A 20,350-nucleotide genomic window follows, 5' to 3' on the forward strand; every position below is an offset into this window, starting at 1 on the left:
AGACCTGGGACAATGCTTTTAATTTAAAATTAAAACTAGGATTTTAGGCCGGGCACAGTGGCTGATGCCTGTAATCCCAACACTTTGGGAAGCAAAGGCAGGAAGAATTTCCTGAGCCCAAATGTTCAAGACCAGCCTAGGCAACATGGCAAGACCCCATCTCTAAAAAAAATTTAAAAATTAGCCAAGTTACTTAGGAGGCTGAGATGGGAGGATCGCTTGAGCCCAGGAGGTCGGGGCTGTAGTGAGCTGTGATTGTGCCACTGCACCTCAGTCTGGGTGAAGAGTGAGACTCTGTCTCAAAAAAAAAAAAAAAAAAAAAAAAAGATTTCATGAAAATAAATTGGTCTACATCTTATTACCAATGTAGGTCTAAAGCATCAATTGAGCTCTGCTCTATGAACTTCAACCTGAATCACTGGATTAAAAATTCTAAGAAATACAGAAGATACACATACATACAAACTCACATATATACATAAAATCTAGAGAGATTTGCTTTAGGCTAGTGATTCCCGAACTTGGCTGTATGTTTTCATCACCTGGAGAGCTTTAAAAAATGCAATGCCCAGCTCACACTGAAGAAAAATCAAATCAGAATGGGGGTGAGTGAGGAGCCAGACATCAGTATTTTATATAGATCCCAGATGATTACAATGTGGAATAAAGTTTGAGAACCACTGTTTAAGACAAAATTTGATAATGCCATCATTATCAAATTAGTAACTTAATTTGGAGCCATTATAGGTGGTTTTAAGTCTCTAACCACCTGGACTGAATAAATTCCTAGGGGAAGCTTTGAGGCAATAACAATCTGCAAAATGCCATCTCTGCACAGGGATAGAAAGCTGGAGTTCAGGAGACGTGAAAAATATATGACTCAAAGAAAAAAGGGAAGGGATGGTATTCTATTTCCAAATTCCTTATAAAGGTTATTTAGGAAACACCAAGTCACTCTAACTGATGAAGAAAGCCAGCTCAGACACTAAAATCATAGCCCAAAGAGAAGAAACACTCTCTGGGAATGATGCTTATTTCACAAGGCACACTTTGTACCTAGAACACGGGATGCTTCCATTTCAGTATATCACAATCTGCCCTCCATACATAACTCTCACCTGAATCTCAACAGAAAATCCAGAAATGTACAGGATTCTCAAATAAATTAAGGGTGTGCTTTCAGACTTACATGCTGGAAAAGTTATATACACCCACCCCTGTGCAGTTCGTGGGACAACAAAGGTCTCTCAAAGGGGCAAGATTCAATAGATGAAATTTGGTTGACAATAGGTCATTCACAACCTTTGTTACTTGTGTTACTTTTCTCCATGCTTGTAACCAAATTTGAGATGACTGTCCTCCTTTTTTTCTGGTTTCAGTGGGGTTAGGTAGGCATTTGCAGAAGTGAATGAGACATTTGGGGCTATCATTTACAATGGATCCATAAAACTGCTATCAGAACAAGAACGGCAAAACAGTTTAGTGACATGACTTACCCTATGGCACATGTAGGATCCACCTTTCTTCACTCGGTCTTTCCCAGAAGGGGGACCTTTCTACAGATGAAGAAAAAAGGCTATGTTAGACCAGAAGGCAAAGCTGCCCCTTACACAGTGGGAGAGAATCCACTTTGATCCAACCAGCTCTCTCATGGTTGCCTAAACTCTCCACATGCATTTCCACCCCTAGGCTTTGTATCTGTATTCGTGGGCTCTCCCAAATGCTCACCTCCCCAAATCCTACCCATCTTCTAAGGCCCACCTCAAGTTTCCACTCTTTGGTGAAGTCTTCGTAACTACAGGAAGCAATCCTGTCTCTAAGTCCCTACAGCATTTCTTGCCTAGATGACTAATAAGCTGCTTGGCTGCACCTCTTACCATGTCATGATGCAAATTTATCCTGTGTTATAACTGGTTTACTCATCTACACTGGCAAGCCTCTTTGAATTGCATGGTATTTTTTGAAACAAAAATTTTTCTTGAGACAGGGTCTCCTTCTGTCACCCAGGCTGGAGTGCAGTGCTGTGATCATAGCTCACTACAGCCTTGACCACCTGGGCTCAAGCAATCCTCCCTCCTCAGCCTCCCAAGTAGCTAGAACCACAGGCATGAACCACCATGCCCAGCTAATTTTTAAAAATTATTATTTGTAGAGACAGGGTCTCGCTATATTGCCCAGGCTGGTCTTGAACTACTGAGCTCAAGTGACCCTCCTACCTCAGCCTCCCAAAGTGCTGGGATTACAGGCATGCAACACCATGCCAAGCCAGAATTATATGTTTTTATAATCCCGCTGTGTAATACTTAATAAATAGTTTGCTGATTGAATGAAAGAGTTTGCTTGTTAGCCTTAAAAAAATTTAGGTGTGCTTTATTAAGATATAATTAATATACAGTAAAATTCATCCTTTTTAAGTGCACAGTTCCAGTGAGTTTTGACAAACATATATAGTCATGTAACCGCTACCACAATCAAGACATACAACATGGTTTATCTTGAAGAAAAAAAAAAAGACACATATACGTACTATGAACCAGGCACAGTTTGAGCACTTTACAAATATTAACTCAGGTATTCTCCATCCAACCTTGGAGGTAGGTTAAGTTACTGGTAAAATAAGTGGCACAGTCAGGCAGCCTTGCTCCAGAGTCCATGCTCTGAGGCACTCCACTGCGCTCCCACTTAGAGACAAGAAGTGTAGGAAATTAGGCAATGCTTAAAAGGAGGCAAGGAAGAGCAGCGTCTACCACTGTAATAAGAATTAACATCTACACAGAGCCAGTATAATGGCAAGACTTTTTTCTAGGAAGGGCTTCAGATAAAAGTTCAAAGGAAATGAAAATCCTAAAGCATCAGTTGCCAAGATAAAAGCCTCAACATCAGGTAAGGCATACACAGCATCTGAGAGGTACCAATAAATAGGCTCTAATAAGCCAGAACCGTATCAGGGGAGTCTATGGGGAAAGGGATTTATCTCCTTTTTTTGTTCAAAAAGACAATTAATCACACACCTGTCTACTATTTGCTCCAAAAACGCAAGAGGCCGGGACAACCCCACTCCTATCTTAGTTTTTCCTTCTCCTGTGACCCAAAAGCACCCTTACTTAAGTGGCAGAAATTAAAAGAATCACGTTTTCTCCAAGCATGGCTAATGTACTTTCTTGCAAATGTAAACCATGTGGGCAGAAGTGCACATTACCTTCTAAGCATTTCCAGGTACAGATGCTCCTTAGCATGGGATTAGGTCCTGTCCTGATAAATCCATCATAAGTTGAAAATATTATTAAGTCAAAAATGCATTTAATACTCCTAACCTACCCAACATCACAGCTTAGCCTAGCCTACCTTAAACATGTTCAGAACACTCATGTTAGTCTGTAGTTGGGCAAATCATCTAAGAACACAAAGCCTATTTTATAATAAATTGTGGAATATATCATGTAAATTGCTGAATACTGAACTGAAAGTGGAAAACAGAATGGTTGTATGGATACTTAAACCACAGTTTCTACCAAAGGCATATCACTTTTGCACAATTGTAAACTCAAAAAAAATCTTAAGTCAAACCATTGTAAGTAGGGGACTGTCTGTGCTTAGAAACTATCACAGACAAAGCCATTGGCTATTCCTCCTTCAACTGCAGGGCTACAATATTTCCAAGGCCTTAAATGCTTAATGTCACATTAATAAACTTTTGTTAATTACAAACAGGCACACTGCAAACGTGAAAAGCTACGTGTCAAAATAATGGCTGGCAGCAGTTTTCTTCCCAGGAATATCTAGAATCTGACAAACACTCTGAGTCAGTTTATTACTCTATAAGACAATTACCAAGAATTCACTGTAGCAGCAATGAAAGCATTTATAATTGTGGAACTCTCCCATGTAATGGCCACACTCTCCTACACTGTTTCTCGCTTAACAATTCTTGCATTACACTGCTTTAGGTGGTTCTCTGCATGCTCTGTTACAATGTATCAAATTGTGATTCAAGTCTCTCCCAGTATCTGCTAGCGTGCAATTTAGACTCCTCAAGTAGATCTAGGAACAAGAAGGAGTTGATTTGCCAATGGGAAGGCATGGGAACAAAATAGTTGCCTTTCATCATCAACTTCAATGAACTAAGTCTGCAATCAATAACTACGACACTTATCACAGTGACGCAAGTAGTAATGACAGTCATCCCAGGCTGACACAACTGTGGCACCTAACACAGTCCTCAATTTAGGTGACTGCTCAGCTGCTTCTTATAAATAAAACTATTTTTGCTAGCAAACAACATGATAATTAACTAAAACTGTTTGAAATGCTTGCCACTTTGCCAAAAAACAGAAAAATTACTAGGAGGGTGTAGTGGGTTGAAGAGTGTTCCCAAAATTAATGCTCATTCACAGCCCTAGTGTCTGACCTGATTCGGAAATAGGAACTTTGCAGACTTGTAATTTTTGTAATTAATATAAGATCATATTGGATTAGGGCGGGCCCTAAATCCAATGACTGGTGTCCTTATAAGATGAGGAGAGGATGCACAGAGGAACACAGAGAAGTCTATGTGGTGATGGAGGCAGGGACTGGAGTGAGGCGGCTACAAGCCAAGGAATGAGAAGGATTCCTGGAAGTCACCAGGAAGGATCTTCCCTTAGAGACTCCAGATGGGGTGTGGCACAGCCAGCACCTTGATTTCAGACTGCTAGCCTCCAGAACTGTGAGAGGATAAATTTCTGTTGTTTCAAGACACTAAGAGTGGGAGGCTGAGGCCAAGAGATGGTCAAGAGATGGAGGTCAAGAGATCAAGGTCAAGAGATGGAGCCCACCCTGGCCAATATGGTGAAACCCCATCTCAGCTAAAAATACAAAAATTAACTGGTCGTGGTGGCACACACCTATAGTCCCAGCTACTTGGGAGGCTGAGGCAGGAGAATCACTTGAATCCGCGAGGCGGAGGTTGCAGTGAGCCGAGATCGTGCCACCGCACTCCAGCCTGGCAACAGAGCGAGCCTCCATCTCAAAAAAAAAAAAAAAAAAAAAAAAAGATACTAAGTGTGGTAATTTGCTATGCAGCCCTAGCAGATTAATCCAGAGAGTTGGGGAAGAGGGGTATCTCCATTCCCATTTGTGAAAGAAAACATTAATAAATCAAAATTAACAGTGTCTCTCATGATCAAGTTTATGACTGCAGGCTAAAACAACTTAAGTGGCTATTGGTGGTGGTGTTTAAACACCTCATCTGTTTGCCTGTATACCACAGCAGGAAGAGCGGCTGCAGGGCCCTACCACCTCCACCTCCTGTGCTCAAGAGTCTTGGGGATGCATAAGAATCCACTTGGAATTAACCTAGATATCCATCAGCAGTGGACTGGATAAAGAAAACGTGGTACATATACACCATGGAATACTACACAGCCATAAAAAAGAATGACTCATGTCCTTTGCAGCAACATGAATGGTGCTGCAGGCCATTATTATCCTATGTGAATTAACGCAGGAACAGAAAACCAAATACCGCATGTTCTCACTTATAAATGGGAGCTAAACATTGGATATACATGGAGACAAAGAAGAGAACAATAGACACTGGGACCTATTTGGGCAAGGTGGAGGGTGAGAGAAGGATGCGGACTGAAAAACTACATACTGAATATTATGCTGATTACCTGGGTGACAAAATTATCTACACCAAACCCCCACGGCCCACAATTTACCCATGTAACAAACCTGCACATCCATCCTTTGCACTTAAAATGAAAGTTGGAAAGAAAAACAAAGTCTCAGTGGAAAAACATATGGAACATAGGGACTCCGCCTACAACCAGGCAGGAACCATCGTGAATCCTGTCTCCAAAGGTACTACTGCCCGTAACTGCTCTAGTCCCATAGACACGAAAATATCAACATGTCTCCAATGCTTGCATGGTCGCAAGAACAGCAAAACACACAGGTTTCTACATAACAGTCCCAATAATCTCAAAAGGCCAAGGTACAGCTAAAGTTCTCGGGAAAAGTGATGAAGAAGCAACACTCAGCATTAGTGCAGAGAAATCTACCCCTGTTTAAAACACCTGGGAGGGCATGTAAGTCTTTAAGGATGAGTTGAATCCACTGGAGATGCCACAGAACCACGTATCAGTGAGACTGGCTTGTTTGGAGGAGGAATGAGTCTGTAAGGAAGAGGGGTAGCCAGCCTGCTCACGGCTACCAGGACATTTTTCACAGCACAACGACTGCACTCTGTGTAGTCAAGAGACATTTCCCTTTCCCTCGTCATGCCCAATACATTGACAAGGAAAGCAACAGAAGGGATGGAGAGTGTGACAAATTTCCATCACTCAGCAAACAGTCAAAAGGCACCACTAGCGACCTGGATGGGACTAGAGACTATTATTCTAAGTGTAGTAACTCAGGAATGGAAAACCAAACATCATATGTTCTCACTCATAAGTGGGAGCTAAGCTACGAGGATGCAAAGGCATAAGAATGACACAATGGACTTTGGGGACTCGGGGAAAGGGTGGGAAGGGGGTGACGGATAAAAGGCTACAAATCGGGTGCAGTGTGCACTGCTCGGGTGGGGGTGCACCAAAATCTCACAGATCACCACTAAAGAACTTACCCATGTAACCAAACACCACCTGTTCCCCAATAACCAACGGAAATTAAAAAAATTAAAACAAATAATAAACATGTCATTTGACACAATCCATAGTAATGAAATGCTAAGCACCCACTACAAAGAATGAGGCACTTCTGTATGTGTACACTTTACTATCACTTTTTACTAAGAAAATAACAGCATCAAGCATTTATTCTGACTTCCTCACACAAACTATGCCTCAGGAAAATAGAAGAGTTATGAGTGAATGTTCTTTATAGAGGAATTCCAGATAATTAATGCAGAAAGAGTAATAGAATATCACTATGTCAAAAATCTTGGCCAGGTGCAATGGCTCATGCCTGTAATCCCAGCACTTTGGGAGGCCAGTATGGGAAGATTGCTTGAGCCCAGGAGTTCAAGACCGGCCTTGGGCAACATGGTGAAACCTCATCTCTACAAAAAATACAAAAATTAGCCGGGCGTGGTGGGGCACGCCTGTAGTCTCAGCTACTCAAGAGGCCGAGGCAGGAGAACCATTTGAGCTTGGGAGGCAAAGGTTGCAGTGAGCAGTGACTGCGCCACAGCACTACAGCCTAGACAACAGGAATGAGAAACTCTGTCTCAGGAAAACAAACAAACAAACAAAAAAACCTTCCTCAAGAACTGAATCTAGGCAATGAGTATCAATGGCTGCTAAAATCAGTGAGTGAAAGGCTAATGAAGATCCTCGTAACGGATGGTTCAGACTGACAATGCCTACTTAAATACTGATCAATCTTATTAACAAAAATAATCTTATCGGTGTCACGATAAAAGCCATGCATACTATGCCTCCTGATATGATATAAAGAATATACACAGCCCTATGAAGTATTTTTAATTACTCTTATACATACACACACACATACATGCACACACACACACACACACATCCTACCTAAAGCCTAAATATAATCAAGACTTTAAATCTAAACAAAGATTGTAGGAAATACAAGGGGTAGAAGAATATACTAAAATGATTCCACGAAGATGCAATGAACAAAACCCAGGCCATGGGAAATTCTTTTAAAAATAGATCATTTGTGGTGATTCCTCAATGATCTAGAACCAGAAATACCATTTGACCCAGCAATCCCATTATTGGGTATGTACCCAAAGGATTATAAATCATTCTGCTATAAAGACACATGCACACATATGTTTATTGTGGCACTGCTCATGATAGCAAAGACTTGGAACCAACCCAAACGCCCACCAATGATGGACTGGATAAAGAAAATGTGGCACATATACACCATGGGATACTACGTAGCCATAAAAAAGGATGAGCTCATGTCCTTTGCAGGGACATGGATGAAGCTGGAAACCATCATTCTCAACAAACTAACAATAGAACAGAAAACCAAACACCGCATGTTCTCACTCACAGGAGGGAGTTGAACAATGAGAACACATGGACACAGGGAGGGGAACATCACACACTGGGGCCTGTCAGGGGGTCAGAGACTAGGGGAGGGATAGCATTAGGAGAAATACCTAATGTAGGTGACGGGTTGATGGGTGCAGCACACCACCATGGCACGTGTATACCTAAGTAACAAACCTGCACATTCTGCACGTGTACCCCAGAACTTAAAAAGTATAATAAAAAGAAAAAAAAAAAGAGATCAGGGCCGGGCGCAGTGGCTCATGCCTATAATCCCAGCACTTTGGGAGGCCAAGGCAGACGGATCACTGGAGGTCAGGAGCTCAAGACCATCCTGGCCAACATGGTGAAACCTTGTCTCTATTAAAAATACAAAAATTAGCCAGTCGTGGTGGTACACACCTATAATTCCAGCTTTTAGGGATGCTGAGGCAGGAGAATTGCTTGAACCCGGGAGGCGGAGGCTGCAGTGAGCCAAGATTGTGCCACTGCACTCCAGCCTGGGCGACAGAGCAAGATTCCAACTCAAAAATAAATAAATAAATAAAAATAAAAAGAGATCAGACATCTTTTCAACAAATAAATAGCAAGGGAGGAAAAAGAGAGAAGTTATAAATTGAGAGGCTTAAAATATCCTCTGGTCGTGGTGGTGGCACGGGGCAATTCTATATGCCTTGTGGCAGTTTTTGTCCTGGATTATCTTTTGAAGGATGTTTGTGTAACCAACAGTCTCAGAAGATGACAGAAGGCAGGTTTGTTTCCTGGCCAGAACAATAATGTCAAAGGTTGGGTATGTTTATTATAAACCTCTTTATAAGACTGGAGTCTCCTAAGCTCAGGATTCTCCGGCTGTGACAAAGACCTACTGTGTCATCCTTATGGGATTTGGGAGACAAGGGGAAGCGATGTGAACATGAAGTGCATGTTGCCTGCTGTGCTGTGACTAGAAAAATCTGTAACTCTGACACAGAAACTTCATGTCTTCTGCCAGCATCCATGACACTGTAGTGGCCTAACTCATGAGCTTGCAAACAGAATAAAATTTCAGACTCTTCATAGTCTTGACAAAGACATATCAACAAACAAAATGCATAGTATTACTGTCATACATATTACAGTTATATATGTGAAAAACTTAACAACACAGTGTGACCATTATTGCTTTAAACAATCTTACGTTTTTAAAAGGAATGAAGTGAAAAAATAAATGCAGTCTTTTCTACTTACCTATTTACCATATTTCCTGCTTGTCAGTTCTGCCTGTGTATCTATCTGAGGTATCAGCTAGTTCCAGTCCCTTTCAGTCTAGAAAAACTGCTTAGTATTTCTTAGTATGGCAGATCTGCTAGCAGATTCACTGTCTTTGTTAATCTACAATGACTTTATTTCTCCTTCATTTTAAAATATTAAACCTTTATTATGGGTAACCGTTGATTCACATGAAGCTGTAAAAGGTAACAGAGGAATTGGTGTACTCTATATCCAGTTTTCCCCAATGGCAACATCTTCCAAAACTCTGTACTGTATCTCAACCAGGATGTTGACACTGACACAGTCAAGACACAGAACATTTCCATCACAAGGATCCCTTACGTTGCCCTTTTATAGTTACGACCACTTCCTTCCCAACCCCAACCCCTTCTTAACCCCTGGAAAACACTAACCCCTTCCCACTCCTATAATTTTGTCATTTCAAGAATGTTATATTAATATAAGTGGAATCATACAGTATGTAAACTTTTGGAACTGGCTTTTTTTCCACTCAGCATAATTCTCCGGAGATTCATCCAGGTTGCTCTGCATACCAACAATCTATCCCTTATTACTATTGAGTAGTATTCCATGGTGTGGATGTATCGGTTTGTTTAAATATTCACCCACTGAAGGACATTTCGGCTGTTTCTAGTTTTTTTGGCTATTACGAATAAAGATGCTATGTACAGGTTTTTGTATGAACATAAGTTTTCATCCCTTTGGAATCAATGCCAAAGGAGGGAATATAGTGGTCGAATGTTTACTTCATTTTCTTTTTTCTTTTTTCTTTTTTTTTTTGAGAGGGTCTCTCGCTCTGTCGCCCAGGCTGGAGCGCAGTGGAGTAAGCTTGGGTCATTCCAACCTCCACCTCCCAGGTTCAAGCGATTCTCCTGCCTCAGCCACCCGAGTAGCTGGGATTACAGGCACGCACCACCAGGCCCAGCTAATTTCTGTATTTTTAGCACAGACAGGGTTTCACCATGTTAGCCAGGCTGGTCTCGAACTCCTGACCTCATGAGATCAGCCTGCCTTTGCCTCCCAAAGTGCTAGGATTACAGGAGTGAGCCGCTGTGCCCAGCTGAATGTTTAGGTTTTAAAGAAAACGTCAAATTGTTTTCCAGAATGGCTGTACTCTGTCACACAACCACCAGCAATGGATAAATGATCCAGTTTCTCTGTATCCTAGCCAGTCACTACTTTTTAATTTTAGCCATTCTGATACGTGTGTAGTTGTATCTCCTTATGGTTTTAATTTGTATTTCTCCAGTGCTAATGACGTTGAGCATCTTTTCATGTGCTTCCATGCCATCTGTGTATCTTCTTCTGTGGTGTCTCTTCATGTCTTCTGCACGTGTTCTAATTGGATTGTTCGGTTTTTTACTGCTGAGTGTTGAGTTTTTTATGTATTGTAAATATATGTGGCTTTTGTCAGATATATGGGTTGCGAATATTTTCTCCCACTCTGTAGCCTGCCTTTATATCCTCTTAACAGGCTCTTTCACAGAAAAGAAGTTCTAGTTTTTATAAAGTCCAGTTTATTTATTTTTCCATATGTGGGTGATCATGCTTTTTGGTGTCAAGTCTCTACACTCTTTGCCTAGGCCTAGATCTCAGATTTTCTCCTGTGTTTTTTTCTAAAGGTTTTAGAGTTTTGCAGTTTAAATTTTAACTCTGTGATTCATTTGGAGTCAATTTTTATGTAAGGTGTGAGACTAAGGTAGAGGTTCATTTTCTGCCCACGGATGTCCAATTGTTCCAGCACCATATGTTGAAAAGCCTTTCTTTCCTTCATTAAATTGCTTTGGCAACTTTGTCAAAAATCAGTTGGGCATCATATATGTGTGGGCCTATTTCTGGATTCTCTATTTTGTTCCACTGATCTATAAGCATATCCCTCCACCAATATCAAACAGTCTTGATTACTGTAGCTAAGTAGTAAGTCTTCAAATTGGGTAGATTGGTTCCTCTCACATTATTATTTTTCAAAATTGTTTTAGCAATTCTAGTTCCTTTGCCTTTCCATATATATTTCAGAATAATCATGTCAATATCTACAAAAAATCTTGCTGGGATTTTGATAGGAATTACATTAAACAATTGGGGGAAGAACTGATATCTCTACTAGGCTGAATTTTCCAATTCATGAGCATTGTCTCTTCATTTATTCAGATATTTCTTTCATTAGTGTTGCATAGCTTTTAGCACACATGTACTAAACACATTTTATTAGATTTACACATAAACATTTCATTTGGTTTTGGTGACTGTAAATGTATTGTATTTTAAATTTCAATGTCCATGTGTTTGTTGTTAGTCTTACAAAAATAAACATGTTCATCTTGTGTCTTATAAACTTTATAAACTGAAATATTAGTTTTAAGAAGATTTTGGTAGATTCCTTGGGACTTTCTCTATGTAAACAAACACTCATATATCTGCAAATAGGGACTGTTTTATTTCTTCCTTGCTGATCTGTATACCTCTTATTTCCATTTCTTACCTTATTCTACTGGCTAGAAATCCCAGCACTATGTTGAATAAGAGTTCTGGAAACAGACATAGTTACCTTTTTCCCAATATTAGTGGGAAAGCACTTGGTCTTTTACCATTAAGTATAATGGTAGGTATACAGTTTCTTTGTAGATGCTCTTTACTAAGTTTGAGAAAATCTTTGTATTCCTATTTTCCTGAGAATTTTTGTTATAAATGAGTGTTGAAGTTTGTTAAATGCTTCTTCTGCACTGATATAATCATGTGGTTTTTTTTTTTCTTCTTTTGCTTCTTATTATGGTAGATTACACTGACTGATTTTTAAATATTTAACCAGACTGCACTCCTGGAATAAACCTCAATTATCATGTTTTAAAAAATACACTGATGAATTCTATTTGCTAACATTTTGTTAAGGATTTTTGTGTCTCTATTTATGAGGGATGTTCACCTGTAGTAACCTTCTATTTTTTTACTGCTTTTGGTTTGGGGATCAAGGCAATACTAGCTTCGTAAAATGATTAGAAAGTGTTCCCTTCTTTTCATTTTCTAAAACAAATTGTGTAGAATTGGTGTTGATTCTTCTTTAAATGTCTAGTAAAATTCTTCAATGAATCCATTTGGGCCTGGAGATTTGTTTTTTGAGAAGTTTTAAAATTTCTAATTCTACTTCCTTAATAGTTATAGGACTATTCAAATTATCTATTTCATATTGGGTAAACTGTGGTATTTGGAGTTTTTTGAGGAAGTGTTGTTTCTCGCCTAAGTTGTCACATTTATGGGTATACAGATGTTCACAGTATTCCCTCATTATCCTTTTGATGTCTACAGAGTTTGCACTGATATCTTGTTTCATTTCTCATATTAGTAATCTGGGTATTCTCTTTTTGCTTTGTCAGACTTGCTAGAGGTTTGTCAATTTTATAAATCTTTTCAAAGACCCAGTTCTTCATTTAACTGATTTTTCTCTGTTTTTCTGTTGTCTATTTCATTGATTTCTGTTTTTATTATTTCCTTACTTTTGCTTGCTTTGGGTTTAGTTTTCTCCTTTTTCTTCTGGGTCAAGCTGAAACATATTGATTTTAGACTTTTTCTCTTTTCTAATGCACACATGCAGTTCTGCAAATTTCCCTCTTAGCACTGTTTTCACTCTATCCCACAAATTTTGATATGTTTCATTTTCATTCAGTTCAGTGCACTGTTTGATTCACCTTGGGACTTCCCCTGTGACCTAAGGATTATTTAGAAGCGTGTTTCATAGTTTCCATGTGTTTGGAGATTTTCCTATTATATTTCTGTTACTGATTTCTAGTTTGATTCTATTGTGGTTGGAGAACACATTCTGTATGTCTTCAATTTTTAAAAATTTGTTGAGGTTCATCTGATGGCACAGGATATGGTCTAACTTGGTATATGTTCCATGCATAACTGAAAAGGGGTATTCTGCAGTTATAGGGTAGACAGTGCTAGAAATCTCTATCAGATCCTTTGGTTGATGGTATTGTTGAGTTCTTCTATATCCTTGCTGAACTTCTGTCTAATTGTACTATCAATTATTGAGAAAGGAGTGGTAAGGTCCCCAACTAAAATTGTGGATTAGTCTACTTCTCCTTTCAATTTTATTACTTTTTGCTTCACATGTTTCAGCTCCATTCTCTGGGGCATACACAGTATTACTATGTCCTCTTGAAGGATTAACCATTTTATCATTATATACGTTCTTCCTCAACTCTGGTAAATTTCTTTGCTTTGAAGTCTGCTTTACATGATATGAATATAGCCACTCTGACTTTCCTTTGATTAATGTTTACATAATATATATTTTCCCATCATTTTGTTGTCAACTTGCTTATATATCATAATATTTGAAGTTTCTTGTACACAGCATATAATTAGGTTGTTTTTTTAATCTACTATGCCAATCTGTCTTTTTAACTGATATATTTAAGCAATGTACTTTTAATATAATTATTGGTATGTCAAAGACTTAAGTCTGTCATTTTATTTTTTGTTTTCTGTCTGTTCTCTATTTTTTTGTCTCTGTTTTCCTTTTTCTGACTTCCTGTGGGTTACCCAAACTTTTAAAAAAGAATTCCATTTTTATGTAACTATTGTGCTTTTGAGCATACCTCTTTGTGTAGCTTTTTTAGTGGCTGCTAAAAGGTGTATGCATATTCATAAACATATCACTCTACTTGTGTGTGTACATATAGTCATAAATGTATCAGTCTACTCATGTCATTTTAACAGTTCCAGTGAAGCATCAAAACCGTAACTCTCTTTAAATCCCTTTAGCTTCTCTTGTGTATAATATAATCATATTAAATATTTCCTTTAAATACATTTAGAACCATATCAGACAATGTTATAATTTGTTTCAACTGTCAAATAAAATTTAGAAAACTCCACAGAGGAAGGAAAGCCTATTGTATATACTCATATTTGGGCTTACCATGTTCTTCCTTCCAGTCCGATATTCAAAAGTTCCTTCTTTAATCATTTTCTTTCTGTTTAAGAACATTCCTTTAGCCATCCTTTTAGGATAGGCTGGCTAGCAACAAATTCTCTCAGTCTGCCTTTATCTGAGAATATCTTGATTTCTCCTTATTCCAAAAAGATACTTCACTGGATAAGGATTCTGGGTTAACAATACTTTTCTTTCAGCACTTAAAAAACATCATGCCATTTCCTCTGGCCTTCATGGTCACCAATGGGAAATCCATTGTCATTCAAATTGTTTTTTTTTTTTTTCCCTATAGGTAAGGTGTCATTTTTTCTGGCTGCTTTTAAAAGTTTTGTCTTTAGTGTTCAGAAGTTTAATTATAACGGTGTCTTCTTGTAGATTTCTTCAGAATTACCCTCATTGGGGTTTGCTTAGCTCCTTGAATCTGTGGGTTTAAGTCTCTTACCAAACTGGAGGTGCTTTCAGCCATTATTTTGTGAAGGACTCTTCTCATGCTGTCTTCTTTGTTTTCTCCTCTGGGATTCTCAATACGTAAATGTGAGAACTTTTGTTATAATCACGTAGATCCTTGTGGCTCTCAACATTTCTTCATTTACTGTTTTCTTTCCACTGCTCAGACTGGGTAATTTCTTTTGTTCTAGTTGACAGTTCACTGATTTTTCCCCCCTCTGTGCCCTCCATTCTGCTGTTGAGCCCATACACTGAGCTTTTTAGTTTGATTTTTCAATTTTCAGTTCTAAAATTTGCATTTGGTTCTTCTTATATTTTCTATTTCTTTGCTGAAGCTTTCAATTTTTTCATTTGTTTCAAGTGCGATCATAGTTGCTCACTGATTTCTTTTTTCTCCCATGGTTTCTTTAAAATCTTTGCTGGGTAAGTCTAACATCTCTGTCATCTCAGTGTGGGCATCTGCTATCTACTTAAATTCACTTTGATATCTTCCTGGTTCTTGGGATGGCAAGTGACTTTTCAACTTAAACGTGGACATGTTCTTATTATGTTAAAAGACTCTGGATCTTATTAACACCCTGTTTTAGCTGTCTTTCTCTGATACCACCCTGGCAGGGGAAGAGAGAAGGTGTGATCCTGTTACTGCCAGGCAGAATCAGAAGTTCAGGTTCCTTGCTCAGCCTCTATTAACGATTCAGAAGGGACCCCTCATTACTACTAGATGTGGGTAGGAGTTTTGGCTCCCCACCTGGTTGTATACAGCAAGGTAGGGGTAACCACTTTACTAATAGACAATAAGAAAGACCTGGCTAGGCCTTCTCTGGCACCTAAATACAGCTGCATGAGGGTACAAGCCTAGACTCCCCACTCAGCCTTTGCTGGACAGTTTTTTCTTTGGTGTTTAGAAAGAGTAGAGTGGTTACTGTCTAAAAGCTTTCTGTATTGTTAGACTGCCCATTTCCTACTTGCTCCTTTGGCTAGAGAGAACAGGCTTTTGTTGAGACTTCCTTTGTCTACACCTGTTAGCATTTCTGGGTTGCTTGCTTCCCTAGCTCCAAGTCAGGGATATATGCAGCAAAAAGGAAATAAAAGAGACAGGGTCTCACTCTGTCACCCAGGCTGGAGTACAGTGGCACGATCTTGGCTCACTGCAGCCTCAACTTCCTGGGCCCAGGGGATCTTTCCACCTAAGCCTCCTGAGTATCTGGGACTACAAGCACATACCATGATACCTGGCTAATTTTTGTATTTTTTATAGAGACCAGGTTTTGTCATGTTGCCTAGGCTGGTCTTGAACTCCTGGGCTCACCATAATGTCATTTCTAGGACTCTGAGGTCTTCAGCCACTCTGCTTTAACTTTCCATGGTCTGCTTATAATTCTTTTATGTGCAGTGTCCAGAGTTTTAGTTGTATTTAGTAAGAGGAATAGAAAAATGTACATCTACTCCATCTCTCCATCTTTCTAGAACCAGGAGTCAAACCTCCTTCACCTTCATTTTTGAAGGATTGTTCTCCTGGATATAGAATTCTTAGTTGACAGGTTTGTTTGTTTTCCTTTCTACTCTTTGATTATGTCACACCATCATCCTCTGGTCTCCACTGTTTCTGATCAGAAATCAGCTATTAATCACATTATTGTTGCCCTGTATGTGATGAACTGTTTTCCTCTTGTTATTTTCAAGATTTTGTCTTTCAACAGTGTCAATATGATTTGTCCAGGTGTGGTTTTTTGTTTTTGTTTTTGTTTTTGTTTTTGCAGTTTATCCTAATTGAGGTTCACTGAGCTTCTTGGATTTATAGATAATCTTCATCAAATTTGGGAAATTTTCAGATTTTTCTTTCAAATTTTTGTCCCTTTTGCTCCTCTCCATTTGAGATTCCCTTTACACATGTGTTAAAATTATGTTGGAACACATGATGTTGTTGCACAGGGCTGTCTTGATTTTTCTCTGAAATTTTTTCTGCTTTTTAAATTTTTATGTATTTATTTTGAGACAGGGTCTCACTCTGTCACCCAGGCTGGAGTGTATTGCCATGATCTGGCTCACTGCAGCCTTGACTTCGTGGGCCCAGGAGATCTTTCCACCTAAGCTTCCTGAGTAGCTGGGATTACAGGTGCATACCATGATACCTGACTAATTTTTGTAATTTTTGTGGATATAGGGTTTTGCCATGTTGCCCAGGCTGGTCTCGAACTCCTGGGCTCCAGTGATCTACCTGCCACAGCCTCCAAAAGTATTGGGATTACAGGCATGGGCCACCATGCCCAGCCCTCTCTGCTCATTGGTTTGGATAATTCCTTTTTCTTTTCTTTTCTTTTCTTTTTTTTTTTTTTGAGATAGAGTCTTGCTCTGTCACACAGGCTGGAGTGCATTGGTGCAATCTTGGTTCACCACAGCCTCAACCTCCCTAGGTTCAGGTGATCCTGCCACCTCAGCGTCCCAAGTAGTTAGGACTACAGATGTGCACCACCATACCTGGCTAATTTTTTATTTCTTGTAGAGACATGGTTTCTCCATGTTACCAGGGTTGGTCTCAAACTCCCAGGCTCAAGCGATCCACTCGCCTCAGCCTCCCAAAGTGCTAGGATTATAGGTGTGAGCCACTGCACCTGTCCTGGATACTTTCTCTTGATCTACCTTCAGGATCACTGAATCTTTCTTCTACCATTTCTTATCTGCTCTTGTGTTCAACTAGGGAATTTTTCATTTCAGTTAGTAGTATACTTTTCAATTCTAGAAATTCTACTTGGTTCTTTTTTTAAAATTTCTATTTGATTCTCTATTTGTTGACTCACAGTTGGCGTATTTTATAGCAACTATTCAAATATACTTTAGTTCTTTAAATATAATCATAATAGCTATTTTTAAGTCTTTGTTAAATCTAGCATCTGGGCCTACTTGGGAGTTAGTTTTAACTTAAATACTCATCTTCTTTAGTATGGGTCACACTTTCTTGTTAGTCTGCATGTTTATTACATTTTAGCTGAAAACTAGACATTTAAGATTATACATAATATGCATAATTTAAGATTACATATATAATCTTAAATAATCTTAAATGTTTATATGTTCAGATATATATGTGTGTGTGTGTGTGTGTGTGTATATATATATATATATATATATATCTACCTATATATATAAAGAGAGAAAGAGAGCGAGAGAGAGAGCACATGTATATGTAACAGCAACTCTTGATTACCCTATTTTCCTGAAGGTTTTTGTTCTGTTTTGTTTTGTTTTGTTTTGGTAACTTACCTGAATATAAACTGTAGAATCTCATTCCCCATGGTCTGTACCCACTGATGTCTCTGTTCAGATTTTTTTTTTCAATTCCATTGAGGTCATATTTGTGTTGCATACTTGAACAGCTGACCAATAATTTAGACAGAGGCTATCTCAGATACTTTGAACCCACTGGGCTTTCACCTTTCATGAACCAAGGTGTATGGATTGAGAAATGGCATTCAAAGTGGCAGTCATCTCAAGTCTCCCTGGCTTTCACTTTTTGCTGGGCTCTCTTGGGTCTTCCCTGCTTATGTTTAGTTTCCCAGAAAGCCTAGAAAAGCTTATTTCACACCTTTAATGTCTCTGTTACTTGCGCGATCTCCCTGTTAAATTTCTGGCTGGTCTACCACCCATCACAACTGCTACCGTGGGCTAGTCATGCTGCAGGATTTCCCAAAATATTCTAACGTGAGTCTGCTTTTTTAGCTGACAAAGCCACAGGCTTTCAGTGCCCCCATCCTCCACCCTGAATCAAGTCAATCTTTGGCTGTAAGGCTTTGGTTTTCGCCACCAGTCCTGAACTGACAGTTACATTTTTATTTTAGTTTTAGAGACAGGGTCTCCCTGTGTCACCCAGGCCACAATGCAGTGGTGCAATCATAGCTCACCATAGCCTCGACCTCCTGGGGTCAAGTGATCCTCCCATCTCAGCCTCCTGAATAGCTGGGACTACAGGCATATGCCACCACACTCGCCTAATATTTTATTTTTTTATAGAGACAACATCTCACTATATTGACCAGGCTGGTCTTGAAATCCTGGCCTCAAGAGATCATCCCACCTCAGTCTCCCAAAGCACTGGTATTACAGAAGTGAGCCACCATGACTGGCCTTTTATTTATTTATTTATTTATTATTATTATTATTTTTAATAATAGAGTGTGGCAGAAAGAGGATATGGAATCAGTTCCAAGCAAGAACGCCACATATTCTCACCCATTCTTGGCCAAAGCTATAGAAGTTTCTCAAGAATCAACACTTCTCAATTTATCACCTCCCTTTGGTGGATTTTCAGTTTCCAGTGGTTGGGTGTGTGTTTTTTCTTTACAATTTTGTTCAGTTTTGTACTTGTTTTCTGTATTAGTGAATCACTTGACCTCTTACATTGCAATTACCAAAATAAGAACTCAACCAAATGTAATTAGGATCACAACAAGAATGGAATTTCTTAGGATCCTGATTCTCAACAAGCCAATTACAGAAAAATGTTCATGAGATAATTAAGGACATGTAAATGCTGACTGAGTATTTGATAATATTAAGGAATTATTTTTAGGTTTTTTTTGAGATTTGATAATACCATTATAGTTTTGTTTTTATTATTATTTTTTTAAAAGAGTGTTTAGCTTTTACAGTCACATACTGAAGTGCTTTTTTTGTGTGTTTTGAGACAGGGTCTTACTCTGTTACCCAGGGTAGAGTGCAGTGGCGTGATCATGACTCACTGCAGCCTCAATTTCCTGGACTCAAGCAATCCTACCACCTCAGCTTCCTGAGTAGCTGGGACCACAGACACATGCACCATTTTAAATTTTTGGGTAAAGACGGTGTTTCACTATGTTGCCCAGGCTGGTCTCAAAGTCCTGGGCTCAAGTGATCTGCCCATCTCGCTCTCCCAAAGTGTTGGGATTATAGGCATGAGCCACAGCACCCAGCCACATACTGAAGTTTTCTAGGGAAAAAAGTACATAGTATTTGGGGTTGGTTTTAAAGTAATTCAAAGGTGTTAGATTAAACTAGATTGGATAACTGTTAATGTCCCAGCTTTGTAATGTGTCACCTTGGCTAGACTGAACCTCATTTCCCAGAATTCTCTTCCCTTTATGTTTCTCGTTAGGATGTGCTACAGAAGACATTTACTAAGCAACCTAGAAGACAGAAGAGTAGCAATAGCCATAGTGTTTTTATTCTCAGAAGACTGATACAAGGGATCCAGGCAAGGCTGCAGCTGTTTCTCACTGACCCTATATCCTCCTTTAGTTTCTCTGGGTCCTGGGCAGGTCTGTATTTAGCTCTGTGATGAAGAGCACTAGCTTCTCCTGTATGAAATCCACATCATCAAAGTATTTTTATCATCAGAGACACAGCCTCTGCACATCTTCCTCCTAAAAGAAGCCTCTTTCAATCACCTCAACCATCTTTCGAGAAAGGAACTCTTTGTTTTCAAATATTCTAGAATTTAAAATGACTGACGTCTCTGTTAATTACCATACCATCCATTTGTTGAGAGTATACTAATCCTTATCATCGTATTTCATCCTCATAATCACCCTGTAAAGCAGGAAGTATCATTCTTTTCATTTTAAGGATGAAAATACTGAAGCTCAGAGAGATGAAATAAATGGCATCCCCAAGATCACACAGGTAGCAAGCGAGAGAACCA

General features: G+C 39.1%; 1 protein-coding gene across 12 annotated transcripts in view, besides 3 other annotated features; it reads right to left on the reverse strand.

Moving 5' to 3' along the window:
* The window catches only part of SUMF1 (sulfatase modifying factor 1), a 432,784-nt gene that overhangs the window by 340,348 nt on the left and 72,086 nt on the right, over positions 1–20,350 (reverse strand). For 9 of the 12 annotated variants that reach the window (XR_007095664.1, XM_017006254.3, XM_017006253.2 and 6 more), the window contains one exon: positions 1,497–1,556. The exons of the other annotated variants lie outside the window; for them this stretch is intronic. Coding sequence is in view for 8 of the 9 variants with exons in the window: in XM_017006254.3 (XP_016861743.1) it covers positions 1,497–1,556 (60 nt within the window). In the remaining variant the exon portion in view is untranslated. The remainder of the gene's footprint in view (positions 1–1,496; positions 1,557–20,350) is intronic. 12 annotated transcript variants of the gene reach the window in all.
* Positions 823–1,323: an enhancer, noted in NCBI's record as "NANOG-H3K4me1 hESC enhancer chr3:4417340-4417840 (GRCh37/hg19 assembly coordinates)". NCBI's record gives its function as "activates a minimal SCP1, AML or CMV promoter by ChIP-STARR-seq in naive H9 embryonic stem cells {active_cell/tissue: H9 hESC(naive)}" and the evidence as "EXISTENCE:reporter gene assay evidence [ECO:0000049][PMID:30033119]".
* Positions 1,324–1,824: an enhancer, noted in NCBI's record as "NANOG-H3K4me1 hESC enhancer chr3:4417841-4418341 (GRCh37/hg19 assembly coordinates)". NCBI's record gives its function as "activates a minimal SCP1, AML or CMV promoter by ChIP-STARR-seq in naive H9 embryonic stem cells {active_cell/tissue: H9 hESC(naive)}" and the evidence as "EXISTENCE:reporter gene assay evidence [ECO:0000049][PMID:30033119]".
* Positions 19,252–19,546: an enhancer, noted in NCBI's record as "tiled region #6601; K562 Activating non-DNase unmatched - State 23:Low". NCBI's record gives its function as "activates a minimal TATA promoter and a strong SV40 promoter by Sharpr-MPRA in K562 cells {active_cell/tissue: K562}" and the evidence as "EXISTENCE:reporter gene assay evidence [ECO:0000049][PMID:27701403]".

The sequence above is a fragment of the Homo sapiens genome, chromosome 3 (assembly GCF_000001405.40).
Source record: "Homo sapiens chromosome 3, GRCh38.p14 Primary Assembly".
Classification (NCBI taxonomy): domain Eukaryota; kingdom Metazoa; phylum Chordata; class Mammalia; order Primates; family Hominidae; genus Homo; species Homo sapiens.